This window comes from Homo sapiens, chromosome 1 (assembly GCF_000001405.40).
Source record: "Homo sapiens chromosome 1, GRCh38.p14 Primary Assembly".
NCBI classification, from domain to species: Eukaryota; Metazoa; Chordata; class Mammalia; order Primates; family Hominidae; genus Homo; species Homo sapiens.
This window is the reverse complement of record NC_000001.11, coordinates 55938259-55954025: the sequence shown is the minus strand read 5'-3', so window position 1 is coordinate 55954025 and position 15767 is coordinate 55938259. Positions and strand designations below refer to the sequence as shown.

General features: G+C 39.0%; 2 long non-coding RNA genes and 1 pseudogene across 2 annotated transcripts in view; 2 read left to right on the top strand and 1 right to left on the bottom strand.

Annotated features, from left to right (window-relative positions):
* Positions 1 to 3906: 3906 nt before the first annotated feature.
* On the bottom strand, positions 3907 to 8939 carry LINC01755 (long intergenic non-protein coding RNA 1755). Its single transcript, NR_147161.1, has 2 exons — positions 8774 to 8939; positions 3907 to 4193 (listed from the first exon to the last, which is right to left on the bottom strand). It is a non-coding gene; the product is annotated as a long intergenic non-protein coding RNA 1755 (long non-coding RNA).
* A 123-nt stretch (positions 8940 to 9062) lies between these two features.
* LINC01753 (long intergenic non-protein coding RNA 1753) overlaps positions 9063 to 15767 on the top strand; it is a 29355-nt gene continuing 22650 nt past the window's right edge. Inside the window, exon 1 of the long non-coding RNA NR_147162.1 lies at positions 9063 to 9110. This is a non-coding gene — a long non-coding RNA (long intergenic non-protein coding RNA 1753). The remainder of the gene's footprint in view (positions 9111 to 15767) is intronic.
* PIGQP1 (phosphatidylinositol glycan anchor biosynthesis class Q pseudogene 1) lies at positions 14746 to 15312 on the top strand (annotated as a pseudogene).

Sequence of the window (15767 nt, the reverse complement as noted above, 5' to 3'; positions counted from 1 at the left end):
CTCAAAATAACAGTAATTTTGTCACCCCTTTGATTAGCCTGGTTTCCTCAGAATTCAGACATTGAGGTAGTGGTTTATATACCAGTAATTGAGTAGGGACTACAATCCCATTTAATAGCTTTTGCACACTGGGGGGCAACGCAGAGAAAGACAATCAAAAGACATGTCGCTGAGGGGGTCACAGCTAGAGGTGACCGCTTGTCTTATTCCCACAGGACTGACTGAGAAGCAAATGTAATACATCCCTGGATTACCTGTGATTAGGAGAGCAAAGGAGACGAATTTCTCCATTTTCTTGCATCTACCATTTGTCAAAGTTTCATCCCATGAAGTGTTCACTTTGCCTAACTTCTGGGTTTGCATGCGTGGGCACTGAGTGCAGTCCCAGCACTTTCCATGCCTCAGAATTAAGCGAGAGGCTCCAGGGAAGGAGAGGCACATGGTGCAGGTCTGAGGTGAGGCTGTGTTGGATTGGATCAGCAATAAGTCAGTCTGAGAGTACATAGAACTGTGCTTACTGGAATAAGAGAGAGATGAAGCACAGGGGATGTGAAGTGGTGTGTAAGAGATGGCTGTTACAGTCCACCCCTTGTACCCAAGATCCTCTAATGCCTTCCATGATATCCAGCTGCTATAGTGCAATATGGAGGCAAAAATGATGCCCTTACTTCATCTCTGAGAGAAGGGAGATACAAACCCAATCTTTTAGAGAGTCACATTCAAAAAGGTAGCCAGCCAAAATCCATGCAAGGTTTTATAAGAGGGGTAATGAAACAAGGTCTAGTCCCTGTTTGTATTAGTCAGGATTCTGTTAGAGGGACAGAACTAATAGGCTATATATATGTGTAAAGGGGAGTTAATATTAAGTATTAACTTACACCATCACAAGGTTCCACAATAGTCTGTCTGCAAGCTGAGGAGCAAGGAAAGCCAGTCCGAGTCCCAAAACAGAAGAACTTGGAGTCTGATGTTCGAGGGCAGGAAGCATCTAGCACGGGACAGAGATGTAAGCTGGGAGGCTAGGCCTGTCTCTCTTTTTCACTTTTTTCTGCCTGCTTTACATTCTCTCGAAGCTGATTAGATTGTGCCCACCAGATTAAGGGTGGATCTACCTTCCCCAGCCCACTGATTCAAATGTTAATCTCTTTTGGCAACACCCACACAGACAAACCCAGGATTAATACTTTGTATCCCTCAATCCAATCAAGTTGACAGTATTAACCATCACACTGTTGTTAAAGCTACACTGATGATCTCTCACTTTCTGCCCAGTAGAGTCTCTGACTTCCCTTTTGGGGTGCCTGCAGAAACACTCTCAGTCATTCTGATGTTATTTTATATGTGTACCATACATGTATTTATACTGAAAGTGTCTTTCTTATAGGCAAGCATAGAGTCAGGTCTTGCTTTTTGAATCTAGTTTGAAAATGATCCCCCTTTTAATTACAGTATTTAGGCCATTTAAATTTAATGTAATTATTGATACAGTGGGCATAAATGGTCATTTTGCTATTTATTTTCTATTTGTTTCTATTTCTTATTTCCTTTTATCTTCTTTGCTGCCTCCTCTTGGATTATTTTTTAGTATTTTACTATTCACCACTATTGGCTCAATAGTTGTATTTTTTTTGCGGTACATTGTTTAGTGGTTGCTTTAGGATTTACGATTTTCTATTTTAACCTACAACCGCCTTCAAATTATATTATGTGACTTTGTGTACTGTATAAGAATCTTACAATAGTATACTTCAATTTCCCCTTCTTATACTTCATTCTGGTATTGTCATGCATTTTACTTCTACCTATATTCCAAATTTTACAACTTAATATTATTTTTGTTTTACAAATTGATTTAAGGAGAAAAAGTCTACATTTAAGATTTCTAAGGGTCATTCCTTTTGTAGATCTGAATATCTACCTGGCCACATTTTCCTTTTTCCAAAAGAATTTTCTTTAACTTATAGTGAAGATATTCTACATATAAATTTTATACTGCTTTGTTGGTATAAATTTTTAAAGCAATAACTTTTTTTGAATAACATTTTCTTTGTTCTGTCCTAATGCTCTGTTTATGCTTCTTTTGCTTTTATGTATTTCATTTTGGGCAATTTCTACCGTTATATCTTCAAGTTAATTTTTCTTTTTCAGGAGTCAATCTGTTTATTTTCTATTTTAGTTTCATTGTATTTTTTTTCTAGAAATTCCACTTGCGCCTTATTTTTATATCTTGCATTTTTTCTTCTTATTCTGTTTATGTTTTCACTTTCTTCTTGAAAAGATGAAACATTTCAACATATTTTTGGTCTGATAGTTTTATTATTTTTGTCATTTAAGGTCTGTTTCTATTAATTTTTTCCAGATTATGGTCTATAATATCCTGTTAATTTTGTATTGAATGTCAGTGTATTAGTCAGCATTCTCTAGAGGGACAGAACTAATAGGATAGAGGTATATATAAAGGGGAGTTTATTGTGGAGAATTGACTCACACAATCACATGATGAAGTCCCACAATAGGCCATCTGCAAGCCGAGGAGCAGAGAAGCCAGTCCAAGTCCCAAAACCTCAAAATTAGGGAAGCCGACAGTGCAGCCTTTACTCTGTGGCCAAAGGCCCAAGAGCCCTGGCAAACCACTGGTGTAAGTCCAAGAGTCCAAAAGCTGAAGTACTTGGAGTCTGACGTTCAAGGGCAGCACAGCAGAAAGATGAAGACTGGAAGACTTAGCAAGTCTGTTTATTCCACTTTCTTCTGCCTGTTTTATTCCAGCTGTGCTGGCAGCTGATTAGATGTTGCCCACCCAAAACAAGGGTAGGTCTGTCTTTCTTAGTCCACTGACTCAAATGTTAATCTCCTGTAGCAACACCCTCACAGACCCAACCAAGGACCATAATTTGCATCCTTCAGTGCAATCAAATTGACACTCAATATTAACCATCATAGCCAGACATTGTGATTTTACATTGTTGGGTGCTGAGTTTTGTAGTATTCCTTTACATAGTATTGGATGTTGTTCTGGCATGCAGTAATTTGGAATCAATTGAATCCTTTTGATGTTTGCTTTTAAGCTTTGTTAAGGCATGTCAAGAGTAGCTGTAAGTCTAGAACTAGTTTAACCCCACTACCATGGTGATTGTCTTCTGGTAATTTGACCTGATGCTCTATTACAATGTCTTTCCACTTGGGTTGGTTGTCACACAAACCACTTCAGCCCTCTGAAAGCTCTGGAAATTTTTTGGTTTACTAATTTCCAATGGTTCTTTCTAGATTTGGGTTGTTTCCTTTCATGTATGCATAAATTAGTACTTAGTCAAACATCTGGAGGACCTCTCTGGAGATCTCTGAAGCATGCTCATGGTCACTCTCTCTACCTGTGTGTGTGTGTGTGTGTGTGTGTGTGTGTGTGTGTGTGTACCTCCCTCCACTCTGGTACTGTATCTATGAAGATTAGTCACCTTTTACGTCCCCAGATATGATCTACTTGATCAAGTAGACATGATCTACTTGAGTTTTCCCTACATGCTTTGCAATTCTAGGCTGTAAGTTGGGCAATCATAGAACCCACCTTGTTTGATTTCCTTCTCTTAGTCTTTTGCTGCTTGTTGTTCAATGCCTAAAACTCACTTTTTAATATATTTTTCTGGAATTAAAATTTTTTAATAGAGGATAGTAAATATGTTCCCTGTTCTTCCCTTATGTCTTGGAAAAGAAAGTCATTTACACATAAATTATACTTCAGAAAACTTTCTTTTTTAAAAAGGAAAATGATTGTTGTAAATTAATCAGACTCTAGGTGTTTGGTAGTGACAGATGCTTTTTGAGAATTCTTATTTCCTTTAATGATGCATTGAATTTTTCAGTTTCACTCCAGAACTTGGGTATGTTAAAATAAAAACTATAAGTAGACACTTGTGGTTTATATTTTTATTTGACTAATTGTCAAGGGGAAAAAGAGCTTTGGGATAAATCTGATGAGTTCAGTTTTGGATTTATGCTTGAAGTCCTGTTTAATGCCAGATGGCAATGGTCAACAATCAATTGGACCTATGGTTTCTGGTATTCAGAAGAGTTCTGAACTGCAGATAGAGATTTAAGAATCACACTTCGAGAGTGGTAGCTGAAGCTCATCAGGATGGAGTAAATATGGATAGCTGGTAAAGAAGAATCAGAGGAGAAGCAGGTGCAGACCTGGAATCCTAGCAGAAAGGCAGAGAAAGAAAGAACTTACAAAGGAGTATAATTTAGAAAAGTGTTGTTAGAACTAAATTCAATGTCGGCTTTCCCAAAGAAATTAACATCTAGATGAATAAAGAGTACTGTAACCTCATTTACTATTATTAATAACCCTGTGTGGTAGGATGTTTCCTAAGCACTTATTGTCATTTTTTATTCTCTCTTCCCTCTCTTTCTCTTCTCTCCAGTAGGAGGTAGTTATTCAGCCCTTGGATTCTGAGGATGAGATGCCTACATGAGTGGGATATTGCCTGAGATTATGACTAAGGGCCCTTCTGAATCTTGTTGATCATGAAAATTTGATAAAACACAGATTTTACAATAAAATAACAGTAAAAACCAATCAGAAAACTTTGTAAGGTGCTCTGCCACATACACTATTAAGGTCAAAATAGAAGCTCAATATTTTTTCCATGACTGTTATAAATAAATTCCTGGAAAATATTGTAAACTGGTATGGGGCTCCTCACTTATATAACTCGTTTCTGTTTAATTTCTCTCCATCTGAGGTTGAATAACTCTGAGGTTAGAATTGTATTGCTCTTTATGTGGTAAGACAGTTTAGTGTTTGAAATTATGCTTCCATTCAAGGTTTTGGCAGCTAGTGGGTTCTTCCCTTCTCTAAATAATTTAATGAATCTACAAAAAGGAATTAGATTGGTCTTTGATTTGATCACATTTCTTCCCAATAGATGTCATTTTATATAAAGACATTAACCCACAAACAAAGAAGAATTCAGTCTTCTTTGGAAGACTATAATTGGAAGATTTAGAATTATATGGGTAGAGTAAGTTCCTTCTTAAAAATATATTCATTATTGGCAGCAAAAGGAGATAGTCATTTATGGAATGGAAGAGACGGTGAGTTAACATTTGTCAATTTGCCCAGGTGTTTAAAATATGGTTTTCATTCCTTACCACTCAGTGAAATAAGACATATTATTCTCATTTTCTACATAAGAAAATGCCTCCAGGGAGTTAATAACTTGCTCAAGGCCATCAAGTCAGTCCATTGTGATTTGTCTAGTCTGGTTCATAAGTCTTTTCACTTTCTCTATGTCCTGCTGCCTTCAAAGTGCAGGAAGGCAATTTCTGCTGTATTCTGAGATGTCAGAGAGTTTGTATCATTCCAAAAGACTTAGGAATGGAGAGTGGTACAGAAAATAATTTCTACCACCATACCTAATAGATATTTTGTTTGTTTGTTAGTACTGAAGTATGTAAGTACATAGAAGAAAGTAACCTATTTTATTATATGCGCAAGAAACATGTACTTAGAAAATAACACAGGATTTTATCTCGAGGCACCTGGGTTCCAGTTCTAGATCTGACACTCACTAGCTGTGTGTCCTTGAACAAGCTACTTAATTGTCTTAAGGCTTGGTTTTCTTATTGGGAGAAATGGGGTAATAATGCCCACTTCATATTGCTTTTGTAGAAATCTGAATGTGCATCTGGCTTTAGCAATGTTCCAGAAGATTCAAAGAGGCACCTGTTGCCAGTAATTTTTATGTTTGGAGTCCAGAAACAGTTCATGAAAGGACTACCTTAAGGGAATGTCAGATCATAGCCCCTTTGAGTAATGTGAAACTCTGTTGCTGATCCAATGGGTCACAGTAAGGAAATGGAGGCAGGATCCGAAGGTGATATGACAGGTAAAAGTGACAGCCAGTAGAGAGGAGATACACAAAGGGTAATGAGGAGTGAAGTCTGGTAGAGTTTGCTGAAAGTAAAGTGGCTTGCAGCAGTTCTCACATTTATAGGAAGCCATGTGCTGGGCAAATGAATATATGAGAATCAGTATGGAGTGGGAAGCATGAGATGACATTTTAATTGCAAAAGTGTGTAGCATAGTTCCTCACTTAAATAGTCTATAAAATAAATATTAGTACTTTTCCCACATCCTTTATTGGAAGTTTAGTCCTAGAGAGATAAAGGGGTACAGATGAGGGGAGCTATGGATGTCAACAGGAAGAGTTTCACCCTTACATTGGCAACAACCTGGAGCACTACTGTATTGAGGAGGGAGCCATAACATCTGAGTGGTGCTTTGGAAAGATTGGCCTTGCCATGGTGTGAAAGATGAGACGGAGGGATTACAAGCTGAAAGATCAGTTAGGAAGCTGATGCAATAGCCTAGGTTTATGATATGAATCTGAGCTGGGGTGCCACTAGCAGAATAGAGCAGAAAGAAGGAATTTGGAAAACACAATGGAGAAAGACTAAGATTCTGAGATAAAAATTGGTTAGGGAGGAAAAAAAAGAGGTGGAAATGATTTTGAAATATTTAATCAGTGACTGGAAAAGTGGAGGAAACATGAACTGAGATAGAACTCACCATAGTGGGGTTAGGTTTCAGGGCCAGCATTGAGACTGAGGGATTGGGATTCTGAAAAGTGTTGTAGTAAAAGAGGAATTGGAAATTTAGTTGTGGACCTCAGCAAGTTAATAAAGAAGATGAGATGAATCAATATCATATAATTTTAAAATGTAGTCAGAATAGAATAAGAAGGAGATTTCTGCTTTGAACTGCTACATGTTGGGCTAGATAATACTCGAGGACTTCTATGTGCAATATAAAGGAAGAGAAAGATGCAAAAAAAATCACTGCATTTTCTGTGTACTATGTACACAGATATTGTTCTTTGCACTTCACATGCAAAACAAAATTTTACTCCCGAACAATCTATGAAGTGGGTATTATTGGTATCTCTATTTTATAGAAGAGAAACTTGAGGCACAGAGGTGATGATAAAGTTTCCTAAAGTGATATATCTACTAAATTTGAGTCTGGGTTTCAAACCAGGAAACCTGACTCCAAAGCCTCTTAATTGTCATATGATTGTTTTCCCTATGGTACATCTGTATATAACTGGGAAAATGAACACTAATGATAATTAATATATGCATGAAAGTGTTTTATAAATAATAAACATCACATATTTAAACCGCTATTCTCCCTATTTTACAGAGGAGGATGTTGAAGATCAGAAAGGATAAGTATCTTTCTGTAGGGTAAATGGTTAGTAAATAGTTGATTTAAGACTCTTTAGGCTGGCTCCAGCCACTCTGAAAGCCATTGTTTTTCCTACTAACCAGTGCTGTTCATCTGTAAAGCCTGTTTGAGTGTGTGAGTATAAACTCATTGAGGAAAGCATTTATTCAACGAACATATGAATGCCCACCAGGCTCTGACTTAGACACTGGGAACAGTGACATAAGTGATCATTCTTTGGGGCTATCAATGCTCACAGGCTAGTGTGGGAGACAGACATATTAGAAAACAACCACAACAAAATAAGGATAATTCCATATATTGAATACTCTGAGAAGGGAGGACTTTGTAGTTTGCATTTTATTCAATTCACTATATACATATTGACTGCCATTATGTTTTGAGCACTGGGCTGAGAGTTAAGGAAATAGAGAAAAATAAGACAGAATTCCTGTCTTCAGGTTGGCCACCCAAAAGTGGCAGCATTGCTGAGATTCATTTGCTTGAATTTAAATAAATGTCTAGCTATTCCATTCCAAGATATCTAAGTCCTATTTTGCTGCCAGGTTAAATTGAGAAATCTAATCTTTGCTTTTCTTGTGGATATTACACCATGTTTCCTTTCCCCTACATGTACCTAGAGACCCAAGTATCAGGTAAAATCTTTAAGTTCAAATAAGTAGTGATGGATAAAGGTGATATACTGAAGAAATGACTAAATTGAATGTGGGTAAGAAAATGATACTTCAAAAGTGGTTTCATCTTATATGAGCATTGAGCTTTGGCCAGTTTTTACACCTCAGCACCTTGACTGTATTGTATTTCTAGAAGGTAGAGAATATTAAACATTGTTAATGATTGATTGCATCTCAGCTTTCAAGTGTTACATCAAAAGGACCTTTAAAAGAAGGAATTTTATTCTTTTAAAGCATATTGACAGAACTTTTTGATTATTAAAAACTAATGCCCTGGATTTACTACATTTAATCCAAATTTGATCTGAGAGTGAAATTCCTTTTTGGCAGCATCATCAGTAATTTACTGTATTGTGGGCTTTCCCTTCTGGGGCAAAAAATATTGGCTAGGGGAGGTCTGGCTAACACATTGTAAAATAAAGCTGGCAAATGGATTATGTGGGACTTTGCCAATTCTATACCCATCTGAAGATTCCCAAGTGAACCAATACAGCTTTCCTTTACAGCTGCCCTCTGAGAACTGGTAAGCACCTCTGAGCACTCAAAAAGACCTAGGGCTGTGGAAATATACACGTGGAATGGATATTAATAGTCATCTAGCTTACCCACTCTCCTAAATCAGGAATTATTTTATTTGAAAACACCCCTGATAGAGGTTCACCCAGATTCAACTGAATTTAGTATGTTGGAAGGCTACATTTTTATTATTGGTTAGCTCTAAATGCTAAACATCTGATAAAGGTCTCTTAGACACTTCTACCCATAAACTCTAGTTACTTCGCAATGGACTTATCTACCCCCTCTTTAGCATATAGCCCTGCAGATACTTGGAAGAGTTTACTCTTATCCTTACCCAAGTCTTCTCATTTTTCTGGAAAACATAACCAGGTCTTTCAACTATACTGATTGCTCTTTTCTGGACTTTCTGTTTTATCAGAATCCTTTAAAAACTGTGAGGCCCAAACAAATATCCAAGTGTTCAGTCAATTTCAATATACTGCCTATCTGTTGAGCGTCCAGTTATAATCAGTATGATTCATCTCATGTGCCGCCTCTCCTGCCTCCAGTTAATTACCAGTATCTGCCTGGAATGCTATATTAAGGAAGATTCTAATGTTTTCTCTCAGCTCCAATGTGATCTGGGTTCTGATATTATCTCTGCGCTCTGCAGTGTGCCATGGGCACATGAGGTAGGTGCATGAGGTGGAAATAGGTTTGCCATATTGATACCTTAGGTTTAATGACTGTCTGAATGACCATGTCTCCAACTTCTCACATTCCAAATTTCAGATTTTCCTGAATACCAAATCTAAGAAGGCTTGCCACTTGTGTTTTCTCCATTTCCTTTAAGCTTACAGTATCCTATTTACTCTCTGAAAACTTCACTGTACTAATAGTTCTCTGTAGCCCTGCTATTTATATATTGGTAGACAGCAGTGGTGAAGCTTTGAAATATTCTGGCACATAGAAAAATCATATATTTGTCATAAGATGGCTTGTTGAAATAATGTTTTAAAATCAATGGGCGTCTCTGAAGGTTATAATACTAACAATGATTATAATAATAATGATGATAAAATGAGTGGAATTTCACTGTCTTGTAGTTTTTGAATAACTCTCAGATATACTATTTTCTTTGACCCTGATGACATCCTTGACATTATTATTCCCATTTTAAGCTAAGAAGCCTACCTCAGAACATTTAAATAACATTTCCAAGAACACCTAATGAGTATGTCACACGGAATCCAGGGTTTTTTGTTTTACTACGAAATCAGAAACATTTCCCAGGCACGATGGGCTTTGGAAACGTTTGTTCTTATCTTTGCCAGCTAGGCTGCCCTGCTGGTTTAGCAGTAGCTGCCTTTCTCCATTTTTGGCTACAGCTCCTGCCAGGTGCACCCTTTTCCAAGGCTACACTGCTCACGCTGTTCCAGGTATTGCCCATTCGGTACTAGAGGCAGTAATGACTTCCCCCATTGCTAGCCCCTTAGTCTTTCTCCATCCCATGTTGGTTCCCCTATCCCTGACCTTAACTGTAAACGGGCCTTTGATTAAACCCTTTTCAATTATCCCTTTGCGTGTGCCTGCCAGGGTGCTTACTGATACCACTGACCTCAGAGCACACAACATCTCTGCTTCCTTTCTCTGGTTTACAAGGCAAGCTTGGGCCTCAGTGACATTCAGACTGGCTATTAAACAGAGGCTGCCTCATGCTTTGATGGGAACAGTTACCAAGGCACAACTCAATTCTTTTAGCTGGGACTAGTCCTTTAGGAGAAATACTTTCCCAAATTCAGGACCATATTGAAGTTCTAGGGAATTCTCTACAGTTAGGATTATCAGAATTGATTTTCTCTTTTGATACTCTGCCAAGTTTGATTTATTGAATCTATTTATATTTGTGTTAAAATAGCATGTCTTTCTTTCCTCATGTTCTTGGTAAAATAAAAGTTTCAGTTATATTGTCTGTCATCTAAAGGGTTGTGTGTGTGTGTGTGTGTGTGTGTGTGTGTGTGTATTTCCCAAGAAATATATGTGGGACTATATCTTCAAAAATAAAGCTAATGGGGAGAATACAGAAAAGTCTATTTTTGAAATGATCCACCTAAACCATTTAACTGTTTAATGAATCCTAATAGCAGAAATGGAAAGTAGCCCATTAATTCCTGAGCCTTCTAAACATACAGGTCATGATGGCTGAAATGTACTATTATATTTCCTATTTCTCTAATACAAAAGTAGTGGCTTTTCTCTCTTAAGTTATTAACATATTACAATGTATCATCCAAACTTACATATAGAAAACATGTATCACTCAAGGTATCTTAAGGATCTTTTAACAGGGAATTCAGGCTTTCTAAAGTGTTCTAAGGGCTTAAAATGTGGAAAATAGCTGAGTCTTCAAAAAATGTCCCAGAATATCACAAGAATGATTCCAGCCACCACCCCCCTCCACACACACACACACACACACACACACACACACATGCACGCACACACTGGACAGCTTCTGTTTCTGCCGCAGTCCAAAATGTGGGAAATTAGGAGACAGCCACTGGAACTCTTGAGTTTAAGAACATCCCTCAGTGGTTACAGCCAAGGATCAATAAGCCAGATTAGGAGGCATCTGCTGCTGTCATCACAAATGCTCTCAACCTTCACAGATTTGGTAACTGGGAAGTGAACACTGAATCTACTCAGTGCTGTGACTTGACATGTAAGCCTGAAGTCCAGTTGCTGGGATGCCACTGCAGAAAAATTGTCCAAGTCTCAAACAGGACAATAACCTCCACCTTATTCCCATCTTAAAAATCTCAATGTGAGTGCAACCTATTCATCTGACAAAGGGCTAATATCCAGAATCTACAATGAACTCAAACAAATTTACAAGAAAAAAACAAACAACCCCATCAAAAAGTGGGCAAAGGACATGAACAGACACTTCTCAAAAGAAGACATTCATGCAACCAAAAAACACATGAAAAAATGCTCACCATCACTGGCCATCAGAGAAATGCAAATCAAAACCACAATGAGATACTATCTCACACCAGTTAGAACGGCAATCATTAAAAAGTCAGGAAACAACAAGTGCTGGAGAGGATGTGGAGAAATAGGAACACTTTTACACTGTTGGTGGGACTGTAAACTAGTTCAACCATTGTGGAAGTCAGTGTGGCGATTCCTCAGGGATCTAGAACTAGAAATACCATTTGACCCAGCCATCCCATTACTGGGTATATACCCAAAGGACTATAGATCATGCTGCTATAAAGACACATGCACACGTATGTTTATTGTGGCATTATTCACAATAGCAAAGACTTGGAACCAACCCAAATGTCCAACAATGATAGACTGGATTAAGAAAATGTGGCACATATACACCATGGAATACTATGCAGCCATAAAAAATGATGAGTTCATGTCCTTTGTAGGGACTTGGATGAAATTGGAAATCATCATTCTCAGTAAACTATCGCAAGAACAAAAAACCAAACACCGCATATTCTCACTCATAGGTGGGAATTGAACAATGAGAACACATGGACACAGGAAGGGGAACATCACACTCTGGGGACTGTTGTGGGGTGGGGGGAGGGGGGAGGGATAGCATTAGGAGATATACCTAATGCTAAATGACAAGCTAATGGGTGCAGCACACCAGCATGGCACATGTATACATATGTAACTAACCTGCACATTGTGCACATGTACCCTAAAACTTAAAGTATAATAATAATAAAATTTAAAAAAAAAAGAAAAATACTAATTGGTCTCCTGAGCCCCAGCTGCAAAAAAGCCTGGAAAAAAATGTCTTTTAACTTTATAGCTTTCTGACATGCAGGAAGGACTGATACACTAAAAGGAGGTGGGACTGAATGTAGAATACTAAGCAACACTATGCACCCCAGTTTTTCATATTTATCACGTTTGTTCTTCCCAATAACTCCCAGTTTTGTGTGGTCTGTTTGAAGAACCTGGATAATACATAACCAAAGCAAACAAATACAGTAAGTGTGATTATTTAAGTATACATTTTTTCAATGTATGTGCATTATATTAACAAACGTCTATGTTGTTAGGAGCAACCCAGTTTTTCACATTTATCACGTTTGTTCTTCCCAATAACTCCCAGTTTTGTATGGCCTATTTGAAGAACCTGGACTAATACATAACCAAAGCAAACAAATACAGTAAGTGTGATTATTTAAGTATATATTTTTTCAATGTAAATATAAGTATTTATCTCTACGCCAGTAGCAGTGCTGGAAAACTGAGTAGTAGACCTGATTCTAGTATTTATTAACTGTGTTACCTTGGTAAAATTACATAGCCAGCCTTAGCCTCAGTTTTCTCCTCTTATAAATAGTTAAATGGACAATACTAAACTGGAAGTTAGTGGGAAGACCAACGTGATAAATATGTAAGTTACCTATTGTTATGGTTCTCAAACTGTGTGGTAAGGTGTTCTTGGCACCACAAGTCATAGGGACACCTCAAGATATCCCACATTTTAAAGGAAAACACAGTGATGATTGACATTTGCAAAGTATTAGCTTGTGATCGTTTCCATTAGGTGAGTCTCAATATTAGATAATGCTTCACTCCATTTGATGATGTTACACCTTTGTGAAAATGGGTTTTTGGCAGCTACTGTGATGCCAAGCTTGTATTGTATAAAATTCAATGTGAGGGTGGCAGTGATGAATGTGATTCCAAGGTATGAGAAAATGTACAATGGCAAATGGGCCCACAAACCCCGTTAGTAAGTGTTATTGGTTGACTTGGGTCTCCCCACCTTCAAAGTCATATGTTGAAATCGTAACCCTAGTACCTCAAAATGTGACTATATTTGAAGATAAGGCCATTAGGGAGGTGGTTAAATTAAAATGAGGCCATTAGGTGGGCCCTAATCTAATCCGACTGGTGTCCTTATAAGAAGAGAAAATTTGAACACACAGAGAGACCCCAGGGATGCTCACGCACAGAGGAAAGACCATGTGGAAACACAGTGAGAAGGTGGCCATCTGCAAGCCAAGGAAAGAGGCCTCAGCAGAAATCAAAGCTGTCAACACCTTCATCTTGTACTTCTAGCCACCATAACTGTGAGAAAACAATTTTTTTTGCTGTTTAAGCCACCCAGTCTGGGATATTTTATTAACATCAAAACGAGTGATGGCTAATTTTATGAGTCAACTTGACTGGGTCATCGAGTGCACAGATACTTGACTAAATATTGTCTGAGTTTGCCTGTGAGGGTGTTTCTGAGTGAGACTGACATTTGAATTGGCGGACTGAGGAAAGCAGATTGCCCTTCTTAATGTGGGTGGGCCTTGTCCAATCTGTTGAAAGCCTGAAGAGAATAAAATGATGGGTAAAAAGAATTTATTCTCTCTCCCTAACTGTTCCCTAACTGTTTGAGCTGGCACCTTGATCTTCTCCTGCCTTTGGACTCAAGACTTGGATTAGAACTTACATCACTGGCTCTCCTAGTTCATGGACTTGGACAGGAATGATACTATCCTCTCTCCCGGGTCTGCAGCTTGCTGATTGCAGATCTTAAGTCTTGTCAGCCTCCAAAATGTGCAAGCCAATTCTTATTTTATATACATAGTCTCCTTGGAGAACCCTGACTAATACAAAGCCATAGCAAACAAATACAGTTAGTGTGGTTATTTCAGAATATATTTTTTCATATATAATATATATAATATAATATAATGCTTATTATAACAAGTTGTTTTGTACTAACTACTTAATAAACAGAATTATTAGGTATTTCTTTAAGCCTAGGCATGCCATGAAGGAATTACTGAGACACTAAGTACCATGAACTTGAGGAAGTTTAGGAATTTCAGAGCTATGATAAAACGTAACAGGTGCCAATAATGGATGTCATGATGAAGAATGGGAAAACTGTTTTCCTTTTCTAAAATGGTGTTACTTATAGTATGAGGAAATGATTGAGAAGTCTAAGGAAATGGTGTAGATGAATTTCCCCAGAAGAATCAAAAGGCACTCTCAGTTAAGGTACCCACGGCAGAATTATAGACAGTAGTGTCAATTAGCAGAAGCCTGTGGAGGAAGGCAACGTGACTGAGGCCAAGGCACCAAGAAGGGATAAAAGCAGGAGCTGCCTACACTAAAACTCTGTCCCAATCCTCAGGAAAGAATTAACTGGATTTCTCAGATACTCCACCTGTTGTTTGTATGTTTACACTTTTAGAGCCCATATTTATTACTCAAGCCGAGGCAATTACAAAAGAGAAAAAAATAATAGTTATAAGAAGGAATATAAGAGACAAGCTTATTACCTTGTGGCGGGGTAACTTCCAAATCTGCTGGAGTGGATAATGGGCACCCCTGCCGGGCTCAGGTGGAACGCAGCACTGAAACAGGTGCTGCGAGCCATCTTCCTTCACCACATCCACCTGTGGATCAGCTACATCCACCCCATACCCTCCTTTATCCAGAACATCCTGTGGCCTGACAGCCCTAGGGCCTATAGCCAATGGTGCACACCTACCACCCCCAGCTGTGCTGCCAACCCAAGCACTCCCGGGGCTCCCTGTGTGGCCAGCTCCTCTTCTCGGAGCTGATATACCCCTGGAGTCAAAGAAGGCCAAGGTCCTGGTCAGCTCTCCACTCTTCCAGGGTGGCATTAACTGCTGGGGCAGCACACGGCTGCTACAGTGGCAGGCTGGGCACTGCAGTGTGTGTTCCTTTATGTGTGTGAGCAGGCCCTGCTCTTTGTCTTCTCTGTCCCCAGTTCTCCAGGGATTTCGCAGGTGCTGCCTGAGCCCTGCCTGTCACACTCTTCCTTCTGGTTCCCAGGTTGCGGGGAGAGTGAGCAGGAGGCACGAGCTGCCAGCCAGGTCAGCAGGCCTGCTCTCTGTCACTAGCACTTGTTGCCTTGGGACCTGCCTCCTGAAGTTGTGATCACCACACTGTTAAGCTGCTATCCCTAAACCACTAGGCCTGCCCAAGAGCCTCATCCATCCTCCCTCCCAGCAGAGCTGGGATCGTCTCTTCCAGATTCTGGGAGAGAGAGGTTTGCAGAGCCTTGGCCTCTGCCCACAATACCCATTTCCAGTGGGGCGTGCTTCCAGGCCTCCTTGGCTGCTTCCCAGCACCTGACCCTGTCAGGCTTCAGTGGAGGTTCTACCCAGGATGCACTCTGCATTCCTTGAGACTCTGACCCCAAGTATCCTCTTCTTTGGGAGTTTTTCTGCAGGATACACTCCTGGGTCCCCGATGCCTTCCAGCTGTCTCAACAGAGCAATTGCCAGTGGATCTTGGGGAAAGAAGCAGCCACTGACCCCAAGCCAAGACCAAACCAT